General features: G+C 42.8%; 1 protein-coding gene across 27 annotated transcripts in view; it reads left to right on the forward strand.

Moving 5' to 3' along the window:
- Positions 1 to 22,418, forward strand: part of PDE8B (phosphodiesterase 8B) — a 341,542-nt gene that overhangs the window by 118,841 nt on the left and 200,283 nt on the right. For 11 of the 27 annotated variants that reach the window (NM_001349749.3, NM_003719.5, NM_001029852.4 and 8 more), the window contains exon 1: positions 5,125 to 5,709. The exons of 12 other annotated variants lie outside the window; for them this stretch is intronic. In NM_001349749.3, coding sequence (NP_001336678.1) covers positions 5,371 to 5,709 — 339 coding nt within the window. In that variant the 5' untranslated portion in view covers positions 5,125 to 5,370. Of the gene's footprint in view, positions 1 to 4,096; positions 4,492 to 5,124; positions 5,710 to 22,418 lie in introns of those variants that run through there. 4 more of the 27 variants (NM_001376067.1, NM_001376075.1, NM_001376068.1 and 1 more) reach the window with 2 other exon arrangements.

Consider the following 22,418-nt stretch of genomic DNA (forward strand, 5'->3'; position numbering starts at 1 on the left):
TTACCTTCTGTCCAAAGGAAAAAAAAATCAATGGAAATCCATAAAAGGAAATAGAGTTACCTAAATACTTTTTGTGGAGAGAATTAGGAAATATTACACTTACTCATTTACATGGTTTTTATGCACTGAAACTGTTTTTCAGAAAAATAAATTTGTCGTTTCTTGTCTACACCACTTTATACTCACTTATGAACCTCAAGATATGTTCATACATTGTCTATATTTGTAATCAATCTATGTACGTATCTATTTTTAACCTAACATTGTTTTGTTAGGTTTTATATTACTATAAATAGTAATATTTATATGTGATTTGTTGAGCCATTCCCTAAGTGTTTGATGGTTGAATTATCTCTAGTTTCATTATTGTAGACAACATTGCTACCAACAACTTTGTACAAATTATTATATTTTATTATTCTGGCTTTTTCTGATGTACATTACCAAAAGACTACCATGATGTAATCAAAGGCATTCACTGACTTTAAAAACTAAAAACACAGAGCATAAAACTCTATTAAAAACAAACAAATAAAATAACCCCTTCCATTTTGGGTAATAACAGTTAAGAGAAAGGCAAAAGACAAAGAAATGGGAGAAAATTATTCATTCATAAATTCAACAAATATTTGAGCACCTACCATGTCCTAGGCACTGTTCCAAAAGTATGGGATCCATCAGTGAATAAGAAGCCCCCAAACCCCTGCCTTTGTAGAGCCAATATTCTAGTGGGAGAAGGCAGACAATAAACATAATAGTAAGTGAGTTAATTATATAATAAGTTGAAAGGTGATATGTGCTATGAAATAAGAAAAATAGCAGGCTAAGGGGAATCAGGAGTGGTAGAGGAACAATAGAGCTATGTGGGTTGCAATTTCAAACACGGGTTGGGAATAGGCATCACTGAGTAGGAAACGTTTGAGCAGAGACTTGAAGGAGGTGAGGAAGTTAGCCTTGCAAGTACTGATGAAGCTGCACAACAGGCAGAGGGAACAGCTACTGGCTAACAATGTTGGATATCCTGGAGAGACAATGAGGAGGCTGGTGCGGCTGGAGCAGTGAGGGTGGGCTCAGCAAGGTCGCCAGGATCCACGTCGGGTAGGGTCTTCGAGGCACTTATAAGGACTTAAACTTCAAGGAGGCTGTGGAAAGGTTATACTAGATTCACTTTCTTTGAAAGGACAGATGCTGGACCTGTCCTTAACCCCTGAAGAAAGTCTCTGGGATGGAACCAGGGAACTGTTGTATTTCAGGGTGGTTCTGTTGTGCACGTGGATTCAGGACTACTCTTTCTGTTCAAAAGTCCCACAATTCTAAATATAAAATAATTTAATAAAATGAAGCAAAAATTTCACAGCATTCTCGAATGTTGGTGATTTAGAGACTCTGGAGATCATCTAGGAAATTGAAGCCCAAAGGTTAAGTGACTTGCTCAAGGTTACACAGCCACAAGAGGCAGAACTCGGTTTCAGATTCACTCGTCTAACCCTGAATTCAATGTACCTTCCACTGTACTGGACTGCCTAATAAACGGTATCATTTCACTTATCAGTTGGTTAGATTTCCAATAGCTCCACCATTAGGAACACAGTTTGAATCCAGAAGCTCTGTAAGGTTGATTGGTTGATTAAATATTTGGTTATCTAAAAATCAATCAGATAGCTGCTATTGTTTTAACCTTTACAGCTAAGAATCATTCAAAATGTATTAATCACATTTTCTGCTTCTCTAGAGGAATTCTGAAGAGTCATGCCATCTTAGAATTGGAAGGGACCTTATTTGTTCAGGATCTTGCAGTGCCTGTGGGCCATAATTTTACAGTTAGCTCTTATTTAATACTATTATAAAACACACAAGCCATTCAGGTGACCCTGGACATATTGGAGGTTTTGTTTTACAATATGTTTCTGATTTAGTTTACTTTCTTTTGATTTGCTTCTTGGATATTTTCTGTTGCTAAATTTTTCTCCACTTAATTATTTTTTTAATAATGTTGGTCTTTCTGGCCTTATTCTGTAACTTAGGCCTAATTTTTATCAACAGTGTCTGAGCTTGTAGTCTTTGCTGTCACCTGGGATGCATTGAAGTGGTCAGTGGCAATTGGTTCAGAAATCTCTTCTGTGGGTCAGAACTCAGGCTTCAGAACTAAGCTGTGGAAATGATTTCAGTTAAACCATTTCCCCTCCACTTGCACACTTCTGCAAGTTTCAGCAGCCAGATCTGTTCCAGCAATGGGGGCAGGTTGCACATTCCCACTGAGAACACTTGGTGGAGATTATAAGGACACATTATTTTTTTCTTTCACTAAGCCAGAATTGGCAGTTGAAGATGTGTTTGAGCTACTGTCTGCTCTGGGAATGGGAAGAAAACTGTATACCTAGTGCATTTCCCCTTCTATCTTCTATTCCAACAAAGAAGTTGCAGTCAATGAAAGTCACTGGTCCTAATATGAACTGTTCAGTTAACCCACTAAAGCAGCCTAGTCCTATTCACTAGCTACCTTGAGGTCACCTACTCTTTCAAGGCTTAATTATTCTTATTTTTTAATGTAGAAAGTTCAACCTAAATTTGTTTCTGGGTGACTTCTAGCTTCATGATTCAGCTCCTAATGTTCTCCACCAGAAGATTGGTTGTAATTTCTGTTTCATCACAGTCTTCTTGCCTTTCAAAGCCTCAGTGAGTGACTGGTGCTTTTTTCTGGGTGGTTTCATTGCATTCCTAGAGAAAACTCTGAAAAAGTAGACATGTGTCATGAGAATATGCATGGCTGTAAATTTCAGTATGTGAAGGCTGTCATTGATAGCTCCATGAAAGGTAATGACTGAAATGCTATATGCATTATCACAGGTAAGCTTTAGGAATCATTAAACCCTGACTTGAACGTTACATCAGGGACTAGTATAGAGACTAGTGTTTTTGCAATTTAACTCTGATGTTGTTTTCCCAGGTCCTAAATTGTCCTTTGGAAGTAGAGCAGATGGTTGCTATGAGGCTTAGTTTTAAATGAATGACTGTCCCCATATCTCAGTCTCAGCCATTTAATGTGGTGTTCTTACAGGCATGGATGGGACAAGGAAACATGGATCTCAGCAGCCTGGAAGGGAACTGTGGGTGGAGGCTATGATGCCAGGAAAGGACTTACTCCTCCAGCTACTGGGAGTGCTGCCAGCAGAAAGCCCTTGGCTCAGCTGACATCTCCTAGGGGCAGTGCCTCAGCTGAAGAGAGCCACCTTGCCCAAGGTCGCTGAGGTGGCCTGCATGTAAAGACTGGTCCATGCTGGGGTATAAAGGCCCACCAGAACAACTCAGAACCCAGCCCCAACTCAGAACAACTCTGAAGCATCATCCCACCTTCAGAATCCTCCCTGCAGGGATGCCTGAGGCTTGGTCAATTTCTCCCTCTGCTCAAGCTTGCCTCCCTCCATTCCCTCCCTTTATTTCCTCCCACAAATGTTGACTACAAGAGCACTTCCTAAAAAGCCTCCCTCTGCCTGCTAAACACCATCTCAGAATCTGCTTCTAGGAGGACCCAACCTGTGCAGAAATTTTATGAGCAATTTGCCTGTCCATTAAAAAATACAGCATAGACTTTTTCCAGGTTAGCTGGAGATGGAGTTTTTTTGTATCAAAAAAAGAGAGCTAAACTGAGAAGAGAAGCAAAGGTAGAAGAATAAGGTTAGACTCTCCCTGTATAACTGAATTTGGGATTGGGAATGATATCTTGCTTCTCTATGAAATTTAGAAACTGTCTTTTGAAGTCTTCATCCAGTCACATCCAAGAGTGGTCCAGGAAGAAAAAGGAAAATAAGAATGAAAAAAAAACAAAAAACAAACCTTAAAATTGGATACTTCTTTGTGCCTTGCATTAAGCCTCTATGTTACTGCCCTTGTCCGTATAAGCAACTCTAGATAAAATCCTTTCTTAGACCATCTAATTTATCTCCCCGTGCCATTGTGAAAATCGGGCAGGAATTACTGCGGGAACCAGTGACTGAATGGGCAGTGGTGTCTCGCAGCTGTAACTCAGAGTTTACAAGGGAAGGATGAACAGCAGCCATCCTTCTAAAGGCATTCTTCCTCTCCTCCAGCACAGCTCAGTCTGTGCATGCCTCACCAAGGAGAATGAGGGAAGGCCTTGTTGACTGCCCAGCCCAGAGTGTGAGGAACAGCAGTTGACATGGGCGGCTGGACGGGATAGAAACCAGCATGAACATTTAGTGACACCTAAGGAAGAGGTGAAAATGGGGGAGAAAGCCAAGAACCATCAGACAGCTTCTTTCTGTTCTTGCCTTGGATCTTAGGGGAACGTATGTGTTCAAGGGTGCCTTCCTCCGCAGGGCCTCCCATCCCTTGGCACAAACTTCCAAACGATGAGTAGACATGGAATGGGCTTCTTCTGAAGACTGGGTCACCATCCAACTCAGCCTTCGGAGTAGGCGGTGGGGCTGGGGGAAGAGGACGGAACCATGAGGTCTCTCCATCACTTCCCGGGTGTGTTGAGAGGCAAGCAAATGCGGTGGGTGGGCCTGGGCTGTAGGGCCCCTGCCATTTCGGGAGGGGCCTCCTGGTGTTTAGCTCTGGGATGTGTGAAAATGTGTTGGTGAAAAGCGAGAGGCTTACACAGCCCTTCAGGGGAAGAGGGGCTGGGGCGCTGGGGGCGGCGTCGGGATGAGTGCAGAAGAGACGAGGCCTCTGGACAGCGGAGGAGGAGGGGAGGGCGCCGAGGCGCGGTGCCAGCTGCCGCGCACAGGGGCCCCGCGGCGGAGCCGAGCCGCGGGCACGCTCTGCCCTGTCGGGAGAGCTCCGGGAGCGGCGGGAGGGGCGGAGGGGCGCAGTGGGGCCCGGGCGGCTGCGGCCGCGGAGCCGGGGCACCTGAGGAGGAAGGAGGGTGGGAGCGAGGGAGGGAGGGGACGGGCGCAGACCGAAAGTGGGGAAAGAAGGTGCAGGCAGGCGGGCAGGCGGGCGGGCGCCCTGGCCCAGGGCCGCGGGTGCGGGAGCCCGGCGAGGTCGAGCTGGGCGGCGGCGGGGGCCGCGCCGAGGGAGGAGGGGAAGGCGGAGGCGCGGGGAGCGTGTTTGGGGCGCCGCGGCGGGGAGGGTGGCGGCCGCTGGTGCGCGCGGGGCGCTGTGTATGCGCGCTCCCCCGCTCGGGGAGGAAGATGGCCCAAAAGGGAAAGTTGGGGTGACGCGCGCGGTCCCCGGAGGCTCGGCGGGGGGCACCGCGGCCAGCCCGACGGAGCGGCGGACACACAGGCCGGGGGGCGCGCAGTCCGGGCGCCGCCGCGGCCGCCCCCTCACTGCAGGTGGCAGCGGGTGCGCTGGGTCCCGGCGGCCGCGGGCGCGGGCGGGCGCGCGGGGGAGCCCGGCCGAGGGATGGGCTGCGCCCCCAGCATCCATGTCTCGCAGAGCGGCGTGATCTACTGCCGGGACTCGGACGAGTCCAGCTCGCCCCGCCAGACCACCAGCGTGTCGCAGGGCCCGGCGGCACCCCTGCCCGGCCTCTTCGTCCAGACCGACGCCGCCGACGCCATCCCCCCGAGCCGCGCGTCGGGACCCCCCAGCGTAGCCCGCGTCCGCAGGGCCCGCACCGAGCTGGGCAGCGGTAGCAGCGCGGGTTCCGCAGCCCCCGCCGCGACCACCAGCAGGGGCCGGAGGCGCCACTGCTGCAGCAGCGCCGAGGCCGAGACTCAGACCTGCTACACCAGCGTGAAGGTAAATGCCCCGCGCTGGCACACGCCGTGGGGGCCGTCCGCCCCGTCGGCGGGGCTCGCACGGGTAGGGGGCTCCGGCGGAGTTGGGTGACCGTGAGGCGGTTGGTTTGGAGAGGTTGTCACTAAGGAGGAGTTTACTTTTCATTTGTGGAGATGATGGGAGCCCAGGAAATGTGGTCAGAAAAAGGCCCCTGGAGGGGTCCTGGAAGCGTCCTTAGCTGGTCCTGGGGGACTGGGCGGGGAAGGGAGCGCAGAAGGAAGCAGGTGGGCTGGCCTGTTCCTCCTTGAGGGCAGGAAGGCTGTGGCTTGGTTTATGCAGGAAGAGGGGTGGGGACCATTGAGAGCATTCGGTGGCCAGTCCTGTTGAATGAAATCTGAGCACTGAGCTGGATTTGCGTGCCTTGTAGGTGACTGGTGCAGTTGCAGCACCAGGATAGATAGTGCCCCATATTCCGATTTTTACCTGGGATTACCAGCCAGGCTGGAGTCTCAGCACAGGAACCGAGCGTAGGGATTTGTGAATGAATGAGTGTTCGTGTTTTAAGAGATGTGGGAACGGAGCAGAGTGGAACCTGTTGTTTGTCACTGTAACGTTTCTCTGGGTTGGCTGCATCCTAGACAGAATTGAGAGAACCGGGCCATGAGTTCGGAGTGTCAGCAGAGCCACCGTGAGGGGACGTGGTTTCCAGTGCAGTACAGCTGTCTGAGGATGATTCTGCACATACAACTGATCTTCCCAGAGAGTGGGATTTTGAGGAAGTGGAAAAAATTGTTTAGATGGTTAAAGCAGTCGCTAAATATTTATTTCTTAAAGACAGAAGAAAAATAATTATTTAAATAGTGTCCTCCCGTATGTTCTCAAAGTACCGTTAAATCCAAGAGGCTTTTCATTGTGTAAATCTGGGCACTGGGTCTTTTTTCCTTTCAGCAAACAAGATAACAATGGCATATCCTATTGTACAGAGAGAAAAAAATACTCCTAATGTCAGATAGAATCACAGCCTTTACCTGGTCAATAGGTTACCAAGAACCATTCCATGGATTATTTGTCAAAGACACATTTGTATTTTTAATAGTTAAAAACTTGGTCTTCATTGGATGAAGGCAGCCCACAGTGGAGGAGTGAGGAGAAGGATAACATGTTTTGGCTTCAATCTGGAAGTCCAAAAGTTTTTTAATGAACCTATTTTTTTTTTAACAGCATCTGATTGTTTAACATGAAGCTTGACTGATGTTTGCTTGTGGTTGCAGTGTTTCTCTGGCAGTAATCATAATCACCATTATAGTAAAAACATCGTTTATTGAGCACCTACTATGTGCCAGGAGTAAGCTTTCTCTCCTAACTATTGAATGTTAACAGTGTGATCTTAGCATAGCATGTCTGAAGACTAGAGTCTAGGATTTATGACAGTACAAACCTACCAGTTGCCCATTCGTTACAGAGGCATGTGCTGAACGCTATACTTTGCTTTTGTCAAGCTCTCTCTCTCTCCCCCTCCCTGTTCACACAAAGTTAGCTTTAGGAGCAATTTTCAGGGATGAAAATGTTAAATTTGGTGAAAATATTAAGTTGGGATATTATCAGTAAAGACCATCCTTTTGCCTGACGGTTGAAGACCTGAAGCAGTAGTTCAAAATTGTGACAGCTCATGAACTTTGTGATACTTTTTTTGGTTGCTCCAGAGAAATTGTGAATTTTTGTTTTCTAGAATATCTATAATCTCAGTTTAGTACTTGGCAACTCTAGCTACTCCATGTTTGTTCAGTAGAAGAAAGAATACTGAATGAACCCATTCTGTACATTTTTAATACTTCCCTCAAGAGGCTGCTTAGAGACCAAATGAAGTAAAAACTGAAGGGACAATGAGCCCCAATTATTAGCAGCTTGTATAAACTTGTATTAATCTCATTGCTACTTGGCTTAAGTATTAAAAGGCTTGACCTGGGTAGGAGTTTAACTCATTTTGCTTTATCAAGAAGATTCCCAAATAAGAGCTTAATTCACTCTAACCCATTACTGGGAATGTTGGAAATGAAACCCCTGGTTCATTGACTTAACACTACTTTGCATTGTGTGGATCTCAGAAAGTATATATTTGAAGTGAAATTTGAGACCAGAGTTATTTATGCAAATCTTACAGAATTATTATCACAGAACTGCCCTAATATATTTAATAGTATCCTTTTAGGCCTGTGACTCGGTGTTGTATTGTCTTTTCTCAATCGTAAAGTTCACATGTTCTGTGCCCTTTTGTTGCTGAGATAATTTTATAAAAACTTTACATTCATTTTTTTGTAGACTAAGCATTCTTTTTTTGCCGTAAGAGTTTGAGATAGTTGCTAGGCACGTGGTGGTGCCCCACCCCTTTCCAAAGCACACAGGTGGAAAAATAAAATCTTTACCATTTGGTCCTGTTTACAGTGGTGGAAGGTTGTAATAGTTTCCACCCCCTCCCCCTGGCCATTTTACATCAATTATGAAGTGTATCCTCATTATCTACTTGGCCTCTGGTATTCCCCAGAGTGCAAAAATGTGTGCTTGATCTCTCTCTCTCTCTTTTCTAGCAATAATTCATCTCATTAAGCTTTTAGAATGATGAGGCATTATGATGTCAAACATGATGTCAACAGGAACCTTCCTGAATACCTAATTTGCAAAAAAAAAAGGGTTATAAGCATTAATAATTCATATGCAGTACAATGATATCACATGGGTTTCCATTTCTGGTAAGAAGTTAGATTTGTCTCCCAATTGCTGTGAAAATGCAACTTCCTAGCAATTTCTTTCCTTTTTGCTTGCCTTTTCAAAAATAGTACTCCAACAGGAGAATCCTGCAGGATGTTCACTCTTGATATTGTGCCAGTTTTGTAATTCTTGTTCAGAAATCCTCAGAGGAGATGGTTGAACCTCTCTCTGGGAAGAACCAGGGATTCTTACAAGTTTTCTCATACCAGCTGTTCCTACTTGGGAGCATCTGGGACTAGACAGCCAGTTGTAGAGAAGAATCGTTATTGACAATATCGTCAACTTGCTATGACCTCTGTGTAGGTTCACTCTTTTGTGGATCAGACACAGGATGTTGTTAGTTTCCAGATGGCAGCATCACCAGCTCCCCGTTTTCCCTCCATTCATACAGAATGTGCTCATTTGTTCATTCAGTATTTGTGGCCAGACTGTGTTGTAGGTGCTAGCGATTCAGGAAATATCCATGAAATTTGGTAAGCAAAGCCTAATGAGGAGGATAAATCTCCTGTAAAATGGTGTGCCTAAGCCAGTTATTAGTGACTGCTATGTTTTCTGTTCCATAGCACTCCAGAATTTGTGAGGATAATCCTGAGTTGACTATATATAAAAGGAAAATAAATAGATATTCCACTGACCTTATGGTAAATAATAATGAGATTTTATTTGGGGGAGGAGTAGAGCTATTTTGGAAAAAAGTCATTTTTGTTTTCTAAGTCAGTGTTTTGGAGTCAAACTTTACGCAAGAATCACCTAGAGAGCTTGTTAAAATATAGATTGCTGGACTCCACTCCCAGAGATTCTGATTTAGTAGGTCTTGGGTGGGGCCTGAGAATTTGAATTTCTAACAAGCTTCCAGGAGATGCTAGTGTTGCTGATCTGGGGACCCCATTTTGAGAACCACTGCTTTTTACAGTGGTGAATTAAATTATCTGTCTGTTGACCAGGCGAATGAGGTGGGGCCACCTCTAGCAGAGTGCATAGTACCACACTGTCTTTATCTGGGGTACTGGTCATAGCACTGCTTTCATCTTAGTTCACTTCTGTATGGGAAACCTGCTATCCCTGTACAGGAAGTCAAAACGCTGAGCCTCCGAGATTGGCTAAAAAGTCTGTAAGTGAGGAGTGTTGGATCATGTAACCAACTCTGGTTTCTTGAGGTTAAGTTTTCCCCAGGATCCTTTTGGGTTTGTACAGGTCCTAATGTCTTGCTTTGCCACCACAACAGAAGTCTAAAGCAAGGCTGGATGTTACATGATACAGGCACATATTCTCTTCTCAGCTCTTGGAATTCTTGCTAGGCCTTTCACCATCATTTTTCATTTTAAAATGAAGTATAAAGTTTAATAAGCTCAAATGAGTCCTGCAAGCTGATTTCATAAAATCCAAGTTTGCCTTCTGCCATTGTATATATGATTACAATTTAGTCCCTTCTTTTCCCAGCACATTAATTAGAATGAATGAGCACATTTTCCTTATTTTCATGACTTTCTTCAGTAGTTCCATGAATTTTTAAGGACTATCAGGTAATTCTTCCTTTTGAAGGAAAGTAAGTCCTCAAGCCAGGATGTAACATAGTATAAGCTGCCAGCTGTTCAGAGATGATATAGTTTCTACTGAAATCCTGTTTTGGTGACCACCAGGTATGGCCTGGGCGCCAGCAGGACAGAATATGCTGGTGAGGGCAGGGCAGATTCTGTGGCACTAAACTGGTCATGGGTAAAGGCCAGTAATCAAAATAATAATCAAAATAGGAAGGAGGGAGTGAGCCCCGTGGAACCAGGTGGGAAGACAGAGTCCAGAGTTTGTTCAACCAGCAAAGTTGGAGGGGGCCAGGGAGCAGGTGGGAATGTTGGGGCCAGGCAGGCAAGGGAAATCTAGAAATTAGTGGTTCAGCAAAGGTGACAGCTGTTGAACCAGGTTGAGACTTCTGATTGGGGAATAAAAGCTGCTTACTTTCTATTCTATTCAGGAGGCTGTGGTGACCAATCGGAGGGCTGTAGGTAACTTTGTGAACCCAGCACCAAATGACACAAGACCAACCAACCAGTTCTTCCTTGCACCCTGATCAGACAGAGTCTGGGCAGGAAACAGACTGCACATCCAAAAGGGTTAACTCAGAATAATCAAATGAAGGGACTACTGCAAATGTTTTGGCAGGATGAAGGAAAGACAACAAATGATGCTGAAGCACCCTAGGCTAGAAAAAGAGGGAGCTGTTACTACCCCAGAAGAGTCAAGGGGAGGGGATGTGTATTAGTCTGTTTCACGCTGCTGATAAAGACATACCAGAGACTGGTTAATTTAGAAAGAAAAAGAGATTTAATGGACTCACATTTCCATGTGGCTGGGGAGGCCTCACAATCATGGCCAAAGGCGAAAGGCATGTCTTACATGGTGGCAGACGAGAGAATGAGAACCAAGCAAAAGAGGTTACCCTTATAAAACCATCAGATCTCGTGAGACTTATTCACTATCATGAGAACAGTAAGGGGGGAACTGCCCCATGATTCAATTACCTCTCACCAGGTCCCTCCCACAACACATGGGAATTATGGAAGCTACAATTCAAGATGAGATTTGGGTAGGGACACAGCCAAACCATATCAGGGTGGTTATGGGAAGCTGAGAAACCAGGGTAGTTATGGGAATCTGAGAAACCAAACCTGTAAGTCAGGGAAACCCTCAGAAGCTGTAGCCTTCAGGAGTGGACAGGGAGGGAGCCAAAGCAGTAAGTCCCTTCATGACATTGTCCTCCCTTTCATCAAGCTCCTGCTGGTTTCCACATCTGGAAACCAGAGGGAAAAGGAATCTGTTGATTGGGGTTTTCCAGGGTGCTGAGCAGGGTGGAGAGTGGGTCTGGAGGGGCAAATGAAAAATATCCTGAGCATATCCCAAAGGCTCTTCGTAACAGGCAATAAGAGATGTTCAGTGTCACTGGAGCTACCTCGGTATAGATAAACTAAAATTGTGATGGGCAGTTTGATGATTGTCTAAAATAATGGCATTTTAAAATGGCCACTTAATTCACTGTTTACAGTTCCTGTTTGATGACTAATGATATTAAAATATGTCCAGTTATCTTGGTTGGAGACCTCGAACTTATTGCTGTAAACATATCCTTCTCTTCAGTTCATTCTGTCCCCTGACTGCTGATACACTTTTTTTATCACTTCCTCTGTCCCCTGCCTGCTGTCCTTCTCCCTATCCTGAACTCAAAGCCCAAGGGTGGAATGGGGGAGAAAGACCTGAGCCTCATAAGAGACTCAGGACCCTGTCTTATCAGTTTATTCCATTTTTTTTCTCAGTTTTTACTTTCCCACTTTCTATAACCTTCTCTCCACAGACTCAAAAAGTGAAAAAAAAAAGGATTTTGCTATGTGCTTGTAAGGTTATATTTTCAATAAAGAATGTGTACATTTAGAACATATTTAAAAATATTAAAATGTGTCCAGGAATTTATTTTTAAAGATAGGTGTTACCTTTACCCTACAGTGGAAGTCTTGGTAGTTATGTTTTAGTAGAAAACACCAATTTTTTTTTTTTTTGAGATGAGGTCTCACTCTGTCACCAGGCTGGAGTGCAATGGTGTGATCTCAGCTAACTGCAACCTCCGCCTCCCAGGCTGAAGCTATCCTCCTGCCTCAGCCTCCCGAGTAGCTGGGACTGCAGGTGGTGCCACCACCCTCGGCTAATTTTTTGGTATTTTCTGTAGAGATGGGGTCTCGCCACGTTACCCAGGCTGGTCTCAAACTCCTGAGCTCAAGTTATCCACCTGCCTTGGCCCCCAAAGTGCTGGGATTACAGGCGTGAACCACCATGCTTGGCCCAAAACACTACTTTTCAACAAGTTGTAGTATATATTAGTTTAAAATTAGTTGTTCATGGCTCCTTCCCTAGTCTCTTTTTTTCTTCCATCAGCAGATAATAGTCAACTCTTATTTAGGATTTTTCTGTTTTACTCTTTACCATTGATTTCTTTCATCCCCTCCTTTCCCCCTCCTTAGGGAGAATGCACAGAAAAGTAGTTCCTGAAGTAGGATTAGCCTACCCTGCTGCAAATTTGCTTTAAGAAGCTTGTGATTGCTGTAATAAAAATCAAGGAACTATTTTGCTTTTGGATAATCCATCAATGAAAATAAGAATATTTCATGGTTGTCTCTTGTTTCCAAGGCGATTTAAGTTTTAGTGCATGGTTTGTACACTTTGCAACAAGGTAAACAGGATAGCTATAATAATATTAGTTGTTATTTAAGTTCTTGCTATTTGCTGAGCACTTTATTTACATTGTTTCACCAAATCTGCATGATTTTCCCTGTTCTGCTATGAGCTACACGTTATTATTTTCACTTTAGAAAAGAGGAAAATGGGGCTGCAAGAGGTGGGATAAATTTCCCAAGGCGAGGACTGAAGTTTGAAGGCAAGAGGGTCCGAATGGTCTCTCACCCCATGAGCCCATCCCTTAAGTGTGTTGCACACTCAGGCCTGTGGCCACACAGCCTGAAGCCCTAAGTGTGGCTGGTCCTGGAACTGCAGTTATTTAGAGCAGAAGGATGATAAACAGGCAGAGGGAAGGGGAGCAGGGAGCCTCGTGAGTGAGATTTTTCCTTTCACATATCCACTGTCACCCCTTCTATTAACTTGAACTAGAGTGTTTTGAAGTTGGAGAAGAATTAAAAAATGCACACAAAATGTGACAAGCTCTGGTACAACATGTTGTCATTATTTTCACTGAACACAGTGCCTGACACTTTGTAAGTGCTGTACAAATAGTAGCTGCTCTTATTTTTATGGTTGCTATTATTACTCTTTGGGTAATCAAAATGAGATTTTGGTTATTTAGATTTAGATATTTTTGAAACATGTAATTTTTTTAATGGAAAATATATCCGACACTTTCAAGTACATTGATTTGGCCAATAGATGACTAACTGGATTTATAGACAGATAGGTTATCCCAAAGCCTTGCAAACTGCTGCCACAGACATGGGTTTTGTCTGCTTCACTTGGATTTCCAGAGATGACATAGTAGAATCTTGCCAGTCCAAGGCCCAAGCTGGGGTTTGGGTTCCATGACTGTTGAGCCTGCACTCAGCAGAATTTACAGGTCAAGGCCTTGGTGTTATCCTGAGGTGGTTCCCTGTGGAATTCTTTGGTATAAACTTGTAGCCTGAAGCCTCAGTCTCTAATTGCTCTTAGAAGCATTTTGCATGAGCTCGGTTGGTTTTCATATTGCTGCGTTTTGGGTGCTGTCAGACACAGTATATTGTTGGGAAAATGATACACTGTACATCTAAAACCTGTTTTCTCTCAAATAGGAAGATGTAATGATTAGCTCCAGGGACCCAGTTGCCTGTGTGAGTCATAAAACTGAGATAAGACCCTAAATTTTGGAAATTTTTATAGGAAGATGCATGAGAGATTTTAAAGCAACCTATCACCCAGGGTACCATATGAAGAAAAAGATGCCGTTCTGACGTCAGAACCACAAATAGCATTAAAGCTCCGGAACTGGAAGGTGATGACAAGGGTTCAGGATAGCCAGAGCTTTTGTCCACTCCAGGGTTCCTGCTGAGGGAGCTTCAAACGAGAGCAATGACCAAATGGAGAGACAAATACATTTATGAAGGCCAGTGATGACCCAACAATCCACACCTCAGCCACTAGTGGTCCTGGGGCCTTGTGGGACATACTCATTTTCAGCTTAAAAAATGGATTGACAGTCTTGGCCGAGAAATGGGGTCTCTGCAAGGAAACAAAAGCCACCAATAGTGTTTGGAGCTGAGCCTTAGTTGGAACTAGAAGTCTCTTTCCCCCACAGTCGAGAGTGTGATGCTCAAAAGAAGGATGGCCAAATAAAGACTGAAGGGAGCAAGGATCAGCTTAGTCTGTGCCTGTGCAAGCATTGGGTGGATACAACCTTTCATCCCAGATCCATCTGTCATGTGCAGCCTCAGACACACACATGCATGCACGTGCACACACCTGCTCTAGGAAGTGTTGCTGGGACAGAACACCTAGGCGGGTAAGTTTTCAGGAGACTTCCTGCTCTCCCCCTCCCACATCTATAATGCTGGGTCTGTGAAGCCAGTTTCAGGACCCCTCCTCACCCAGTAGACTCTTGCAGGTCCTCCTGTCCTTGTGGTTGCTGCCCTGCCCTTCTTCTCAGTCACATGTGGAGCCCAGGGTGAGGTCTCTGACACCCAGGCTGTTCTCTGCAGTGATCTGGCCCATTAGGACTGTCAAACCCTGGGACTGGCTGACTGACTGTGGAGCCTTCATCCCTTGGGAGGAACAGGTGAGGGCAAGGGAGTGTGATCCACTTAGCCTGATCTCCCTACGGGCAGTGGTAGAGGGGAGTTTTGCAGACTTTGTTGAGATTTTCAAGAAGGGACAAGGAGGTGGGGCAAAAGGTTGGAATCTCTTATTATATCAAAGGTGAGAACTTTGAATCCTAAAACACAACCAGGAAATGCTTTGGATGAACGTGAAAGGCAGTGTTCACTTTTATATGCAGACTATATGACAAACATTAGTTTGTAAGGCACCTAGTTGTTATTGGGGAAAGACTTTCATATAGAAACATGTTATATGTGGCATTTAGGTTTCTAGGTTAGCACAAAAAAGTTTTAGCCCATTATGTAGCTGGAATATATTTACACTGTTGAAACAATATTGCTGTGAAAGAAACATAAAATTGAATTAGAACTCCCATTTCTTTTGTATGGGTGTCCTTTGGGAGAAGCGGGTTTAATTAGAGGCTGATGAAGCAGATGAGGGAGAATTCGTGAAGTTCCTTTAGGGAGTAGTTATCTTTAGTGATCCATTGTGTGCTGGGGAGCTGAGGGGCTCAGGTGGTGTTATTAACCTCACATTGCTAGGGAGGAAGTGGAGGCACAGGCGGCTCAAGTAGCTTGACCAAGGTCACACAGCTAGGGACTCAGAGCTACATCTGCTCAACCGTCCTGTTTTCACTGTCCTATTTTATCTCCAGGTAAAAAGGGGTGTGTCGAGCTTCTTTGTGGCACTTATTTTCTGTTTCATCTACAGATAGCTCAGTTGGTATCTTTTAACTAGAACTGTTTTTAAAAATAAATCATAAAACCATTATATACCAAAAATATGACAACTTAATATCAATCACACTTTTCTAATTGTCTTACTACTTATTCTTTTACTGTTTGTTGGTATCCAAACAGTAACTCCACTCATTGCAGTAGGTTGCTATGCCTCTTAAGTCTCTTTTAATCTGTAGCTTCCCCTTCCAGTCTCTCTTTTCTATATACTTGCAGTTTGTTTGTTGAGGAACCTGGGTTGTTTGTCCTGTAGATTTTCCCCCAATCTAAAGTTTACTTATTGCATTCCCATGATGCATCTAACATGTTTCCCTGCCTTCTGTGTTTGCTAGAAACCGTAGTTTGATTTAGAGGTTTGATTGGATTATACTAAGTTTTGTAGGGTGGAGGTTGTCTCTTTTCTGTGATGCTAACAGAAAATCGGAGTATGCGAAGTTTTGTAGGATGTTTGGTTGTCTCTTTTCTGTGATGCTAACTCTTATTAACGATCATTGCTTATATCCATTAGTCATTAGAGGTTGTAAAATGGTGATATGCTATCATTTTGTCTTCATGTATTCATTGGAATGCCTCAAGAAACTTTTTTCAAGAGTTGACTCCCTAGCATTCTCCTAAGGTGACAGGAGTTCTTTGCCTGTTAATTTGCTTAGTATCATTATGAATCGTTATGGGTTTATGTGTATTTGATGTGTTGATGCATTGCAGTTATTAAACCTATTTGTGCTTAGACTGCCCAGTTTTGACTGAAGGGAGCTTATTCAAGTTGGTGAGGCACTTTTCTTGAAGAAACAGTTCTAGCTAAGTTGAGTGTGTCCTTATTCGAAACTCATTGTTTGTAGATGGGGACTCCACTGACCACCCTGGGGGTGGAGGCACATCCTGGTGTCCACCTAGCCCTCTCTAGTCATGCCAAGGCCCCAAACATCATGGAGCTTTTGAAAGGAGGCATTTCACAAGGCCCCCTTGCAGCTCCTTTGCTATAATTTTTGTGGCTGCAAAAGGGTAACCTGGTGTGAAGGAAAGGTGCTCACTGACTCCAGCTTGAATTCCAGCTCTGCCCTGTACAAACTTTGTGACTTTGGAGAAGCTGCATGATTTCTCCTTGCACGGTAGGGATAATGCATCTCTAAAAGGATTGGTACAACCTAGAGGTACAGTCCCTGTAAACCCGCTAGGTTCTCAAGTACGTGTGTGTGTATTTTCTGCCTTATACTAAGGCGCTACTCTAGGTTTGGAGTGATAAAAAAAATGAATATGATGGCCGGGCATGGTGGCTCATGCCTGTAAACCCAGCACTTTGGGAGGCTGAGGCGGGTGGATCACGAGGTCAGGAGTTCGAGACTATCCTGACCAACATGGTGAAACCCCATCTCTCCTAAAAATACAAAAATTAGCTGGGCGTGGTGGCTTGCACCTGTAATCCCAGTTACTCAGGAGGCTGAGACAGGAGGATTACTTGAATCTGGGAGGCAGCCTGGGTGACAGAGTGGAGACTCCATCTCAAAAAACAGAATATGACATAGTTCCACGTTTCGGGAGCTTCCATTGTTTGTGCCCTATATTGTCGTCTTCTGTGGGAAGGCAATGTGTTGACTGAGTGCCGGCTGGCTGGCAGGAGTTACGGATTGGGAATTGGGTTCTTCCAGGTGAGACACTCCTACTGGGAGAGCATGAAGAACTGTGAGCCTGAGGGGTAAGTCAGCTGAAGACTGTAAGGAAAAGCCAAGGAGCAGACAACTGTACGGCCACAGGCAGGGGCCAGAGGCAGAATTAAGGTCAGGCTTTCTAAGCCTGGAGCTCAAAGCTGCCAGACATAAATAGGATCCAAGAGAACTGATTAAGAAGGACTCTAAAGTCTGGTGGAGTTGATGGCTGAGAATACTCTTGGGTGTTATGGTTCAGAGACTGCCAGATAAGGCTTGCTTTGGGTTGAAGCTCTAAAGCAGCATTACCCAATAGAAATAAAATGTGACCCAGATGTAACCTGCACATGTAATTGTAAAATTTTTTATGAATCACATTTTTAAAAGTCAAAATAAGCAGGTAAATTAATTTTAGTACATGTTCACTTAACCAGTATATTAAAAATATTATTTTGACATGTACTCAATATAAAATTTGTTAATGAGATAGTTTACATTCTTTCTTTTTTTATTTTATTATTATTATACTTTAAGTTTTAGGGTACATGTGCACAATGTGCAGGTTAGTTACATACGTATACATGTGCCATGCTGGTGTGCTGCACCCATTAACTCGTCATTTAGCATTAGGTATATCTCCTAATGCTATCCCTCCCCCCTCCCCCCACCCATTCTTTCTTTTTTTTTGGAACTAAGTTCTTAAAGTCTGGAATGTATTTTACAATTACACTGCATCTCAGTAGGGACTACCCACATCTCAAGTGCATAATGACCACACAAGTAGCTACCATGTTGGAAAAACGGAGGAAGAAAGTGAAATTTACATCAAGGTTCTAAGTCAAGCATTTACAATTTGACATTGTAACTTGACAAGCATAGCACAGTAGTGGTGTTGGTTTTTTGTCTCTTAGTTTGTAGCTCCATTTTTGCTTCCCCATTTTCTCCTTTGTATTATATGAGGCTAGAAGTCTGCAAGCTGCATCTTCCACATTACTTTTCCAGATGGTTTCCTCTTAGATTCCACAGGTAGGAGATACTGGCAGGAAATTGGAATGTGAGAGAAAGGAACAGGCGATAGCAGTGGCCCCTGCTAAGTGGCAGTGGTGCTGCCTGAGTGGTGATGATGCCAGCCCCCTCCGCTGATCAGCATGAGTGTGGGCTGGCGGGTGTCAGCCCAGGGTGTTAACAGTTTATTGTCTCTGGATGTTACTGCTTTATCTTTTTAGTTTCTCCAGCTCTACCTCCATCTTCCCTTTGTTCATCCATACCTTCTAACACCTTTGTAAACAGTTCACTACAGCGGTATCTCTTCTTAATATATATAAAATGGTTCTTGCTTTTCTCACTGGACACTTGGGATCTGATGTCAGAGAACTATGCTGTACTGTGGTCTTGTATGTACCATCTGTTGGTTCTATGGCTTAGCTTCTTTAATTTTCAACTTCTTCTGTCTAAGGATAGAAAAATAAGGATAGTGAAAGTTCTGACCTCATAGAGTTACTGCAAGGATGATATAATCAATATATGTACCATTGCTAGCTTTGAATGTAACACCCAGTAAATATTGCTTATTATTGATAATAATATACAAGCCGATTTTTGAAGGCTCATAATTTAACATTTTTTATTATGGAAAAGTTCAAATGTATACAAATGTAGTGAGAATAGGATAGTGAAACCTCACGTGTACATCCCCCAGTTTCAACAGTAACAAATTAAGACTATTCTTTTATTTATACCTCCTACTTTCCCCCATACTTTGGGATTCTTTTAAAGCAAATCTAAAACATCCTCTTATTTCAGCTGTAACTATTTCAGTATGTAACTCTGAAAGAGAAGGACTGTTTAGAAAACACAACCACAATACTATTAGCAAATCCCTAAATTAAAATAATTTGTTAATATTATCAAATACAAGACAGTGTTGAAGTTTCCCTATCTCATAAACATTTTCATTTAAAGATTTTTTTAATCATCTTTCAAATAAGATCTAGCTATTGCAATCAATTGATATGTTTCTTAAGGATCTTGTCATCTGTGAGTTCCCTTTCCTCTCTTTCTTTTTCTCTTACAATTTGTTTGTTGAAGAAACTGGGTCATTTGTCCAGCAGAGTTTCCCACAGTCTGGACTTTGCTGATTACATTCCTGTGGTATCATTAACCACATTCTTCTGGCCTTGTATTCCCTGTATGTTGGTAGTTAGATCTAGAGGCTTGATAGGATTCAGGTTTATTTACTTTTTTTTTTGGGGAAGACTACTTTATAGGTAGTGTCATGGACCTCCATCAGGAGGCACATGATGTCTGGTTGTGTCTCTTGGAGACGTTAGCAGCCACTGATGATTGTTGCCTAGATCAATTAATTCCTTAGGGGTTGCAAAAGCCTACCATTCTTTCTACAGTGCTTCTGGAATGCATCTATAAAGATAAACTTCCCTCCATCCAATAGTTGGTTATCCTGAGGTACAGTTCATATGAGAAAGGCAGGGCAAATGCTTGATTCTACTCTTCCATTTGCCAGTTTTCAAAATAATGAGTTGATTTCCTAGCATCCTCCAAAGGTAACCAGTGATGATTTTTGAATTCCTATAAAATTATCAGTTTATAAATATTAGATGTGTCATAGTCCATTGCAGTTATTGTCCTTACTGATGCTCAGTTGTCCTGACTTTGTCTACTCAGAGTAGCCACGTTGGCTCCTGTGTCCTTTTCATAGTCTGCTAGTAATGTTTGACAGATTTCCTGCCTTTTTGGACTGACTAGATGTTCCAGGTTTGTTGCGTCCATTCCCTGTCTCTGATCTAGAATTAGTCTTTTCTCCCAGGAACCTAATTATTTTTATTGAAAAATGGTATTTAGAGGTATGATCTCGGGTGTTCATTGCTAATGGACTGGTCATTGCTTCTGGACTTTTTAAGTGGACATAGCCAGGAAATAGATACTTTTGAAAGATAAAAATGTACCGTGAGTGTATACTTATTCATCCAGTTTAAATTTAGGACTACAAGCCTTTTCTTCAACCTCGTCAGTCTTACGTTTCTATTTCCTCTTTCCCATGACATAAATCCTGGTTCTTAACATCATCATGATAATTCCTCATTTGTTAGATCCCACATGCGCGTGCACACACACACACACACACACACACACACACACCCCACGCACACATCTCAGAATACCAGTGATCAACACGACTTCATGATCAATATGAACACTGAAAACAGTTTGATTTTTTTCCAGTGATTTTTGATATTAGGGTCTGTCCCACTAGGGGTGAGCAGGCAAATTACTGTGTTTATAATTGTTTAAATCAGTTCTTTTTTATGTGGCTATTCTACTAACAATGGACCAGTTAGTGATTAGCACAATACAGTTAGGATTATTTATTTCATTTTCCTTTTGATTTGGTCTTCTTTAATGTTTAGTTTAGTGTTATAAGAATGTAAATTATTTATATGCATCAACGTAAAATATGGTATATTCAGAGACATTTAGATTTTATCTCTGTCTCTTACATTCTATGCCCTCTGCCTTATTGGTAATTACATTTTAAAATGTTATGCATTTCATACCATTGTTTAAAATACACATTAACATATGTTCTGCAGAACTCAACTTTTCTGCATTTTCCTTTTTTCACTTAACAGATATCCTGGAGATCATTCCATCGTAGTTCATAAAGATATTCCTCATTCCTACTCATAGCTGCATAGTATACCATCATGTGGCTGTACTTTGTTTTATTCAGCCAGTCCCCTATTGATGTTTTTTGGGGGGATTATTTCCAGTAATTTTTGCTATTGTAATGGTGATACAGGGAATGGCCCTATGCCTATATATTTTCATATCATACAGTCTAATTTTTTAGTACAATAGTGACATAATGTTTTCCAGAAAGAATATATTTATCTATCCAGAGCATTAACTTCTGCCTATCATACAAAGACTTTCCTTGGACTCTTTAGTTGTTTAGTAATTGTAAAATAGTAATATAGTTTTAGCTGAAGCTCAAGCTTAAGATCTCTAGATCTTAATCTCAGAGGATTTTCTTTGAGTAAAATGTACTTTTTTCTGCTTTCAACCCAGCTATAGTTTCATTTTCATGGAGGTGTGAGATCTCTGAGACAAATTGTTTAGAGGAGGTTTGTCTTGCATCTGTTGGACATTGTAATTCTCCTCCCTTATGATGGCAGCAAAGTGATTTGAGAAGAATAGTGGCTGCCTTTTCATCTTCACTTCTGCCTTTCCACTTACATTAAAGTCCTATGCGTTTACACTGGCATTAACCCAGTCAGCACCCACAAAATGCCACAGGGGGCTCTGTATCACTGATTGTTGTAAAGAACTTTCTTGAGCCTTCATTAGAGCTTAGAGCATAATTGTACCTTATTTTGGTATTAATCACCAAGACCTAAAATCAAGTTTTTTTCCACCTTAGAAATGGAATGCATAGATGTATATTCTTTTGTATGTTTCAGAAATTGGATTTTATCTTTGTGATAGAATCACATATCTGATCCATAATGATCCTGTAGTGCTTTCTTATGTTCAATATAATTTTTAAACTGACCTTGTTTTTTTCCTTATATAAATGTATCAACTTTATCAACTAGCAATGCTCAAGGAGTTTTCTTGGCTCACAAGTTGTACATGAATGGGTGAGATCATACCTCTAAATACCATTTTTCAATAAAAATAATTAGGTTCCTGGGAGAAAAGACTAATTCATGAAGTTTGGGTGGGGCAGGAGAAGAAAGACTGGCAGAAGCAAAGGCACCCATGAGAGAGAGAGAGCAAAGATGAATTAGATTCATAGCAAAATTTTGGAGGTACAGATGGGAAATGAAAGATGGAGAAAATGATATAAAGAGTGGAGGTGTGCCTGTGCATGTCCATAAGAGATAATCTTGGAGGTGGAGTATCTTAACTATGCTGTGAGCCACGCAGAATGGAAGACAGAGTTGGTTACCTGCCTCAGTTTAGGAAGGGGAAGCAAGGTTGGGGTCAAATATGCAGAAACTTTGGGGCAGACTGGTTCAGTTCAACAAACATATACTGAGGGCTTAACTGGGCATCAAGCACCTGCATTAGATTTAAGAATACAAAGTTGAGTAGGATGGTTGCTTCCCTAGGTGAGTTTATACTTAGTTGGAGGAGTTGAAAGGGATAACACACAAGCAGATATTTACTTCTTTATAACACATTACCATAGACTTAGGGGCTTAAGACACCCACATTTATTATTAGT

This window comes from Homo sapiens, chromosome 5, assembly GCF_000001405.40.
Source record: "Homo sapiens chromosome 5, GRCh38.p14 Primary Assembly".
Taxonomy (NCBI): Eukaryota; Metazoa; Chordata; class Mammalia; order Primates; family Hominidae; genus Homo; species Homo sapiens.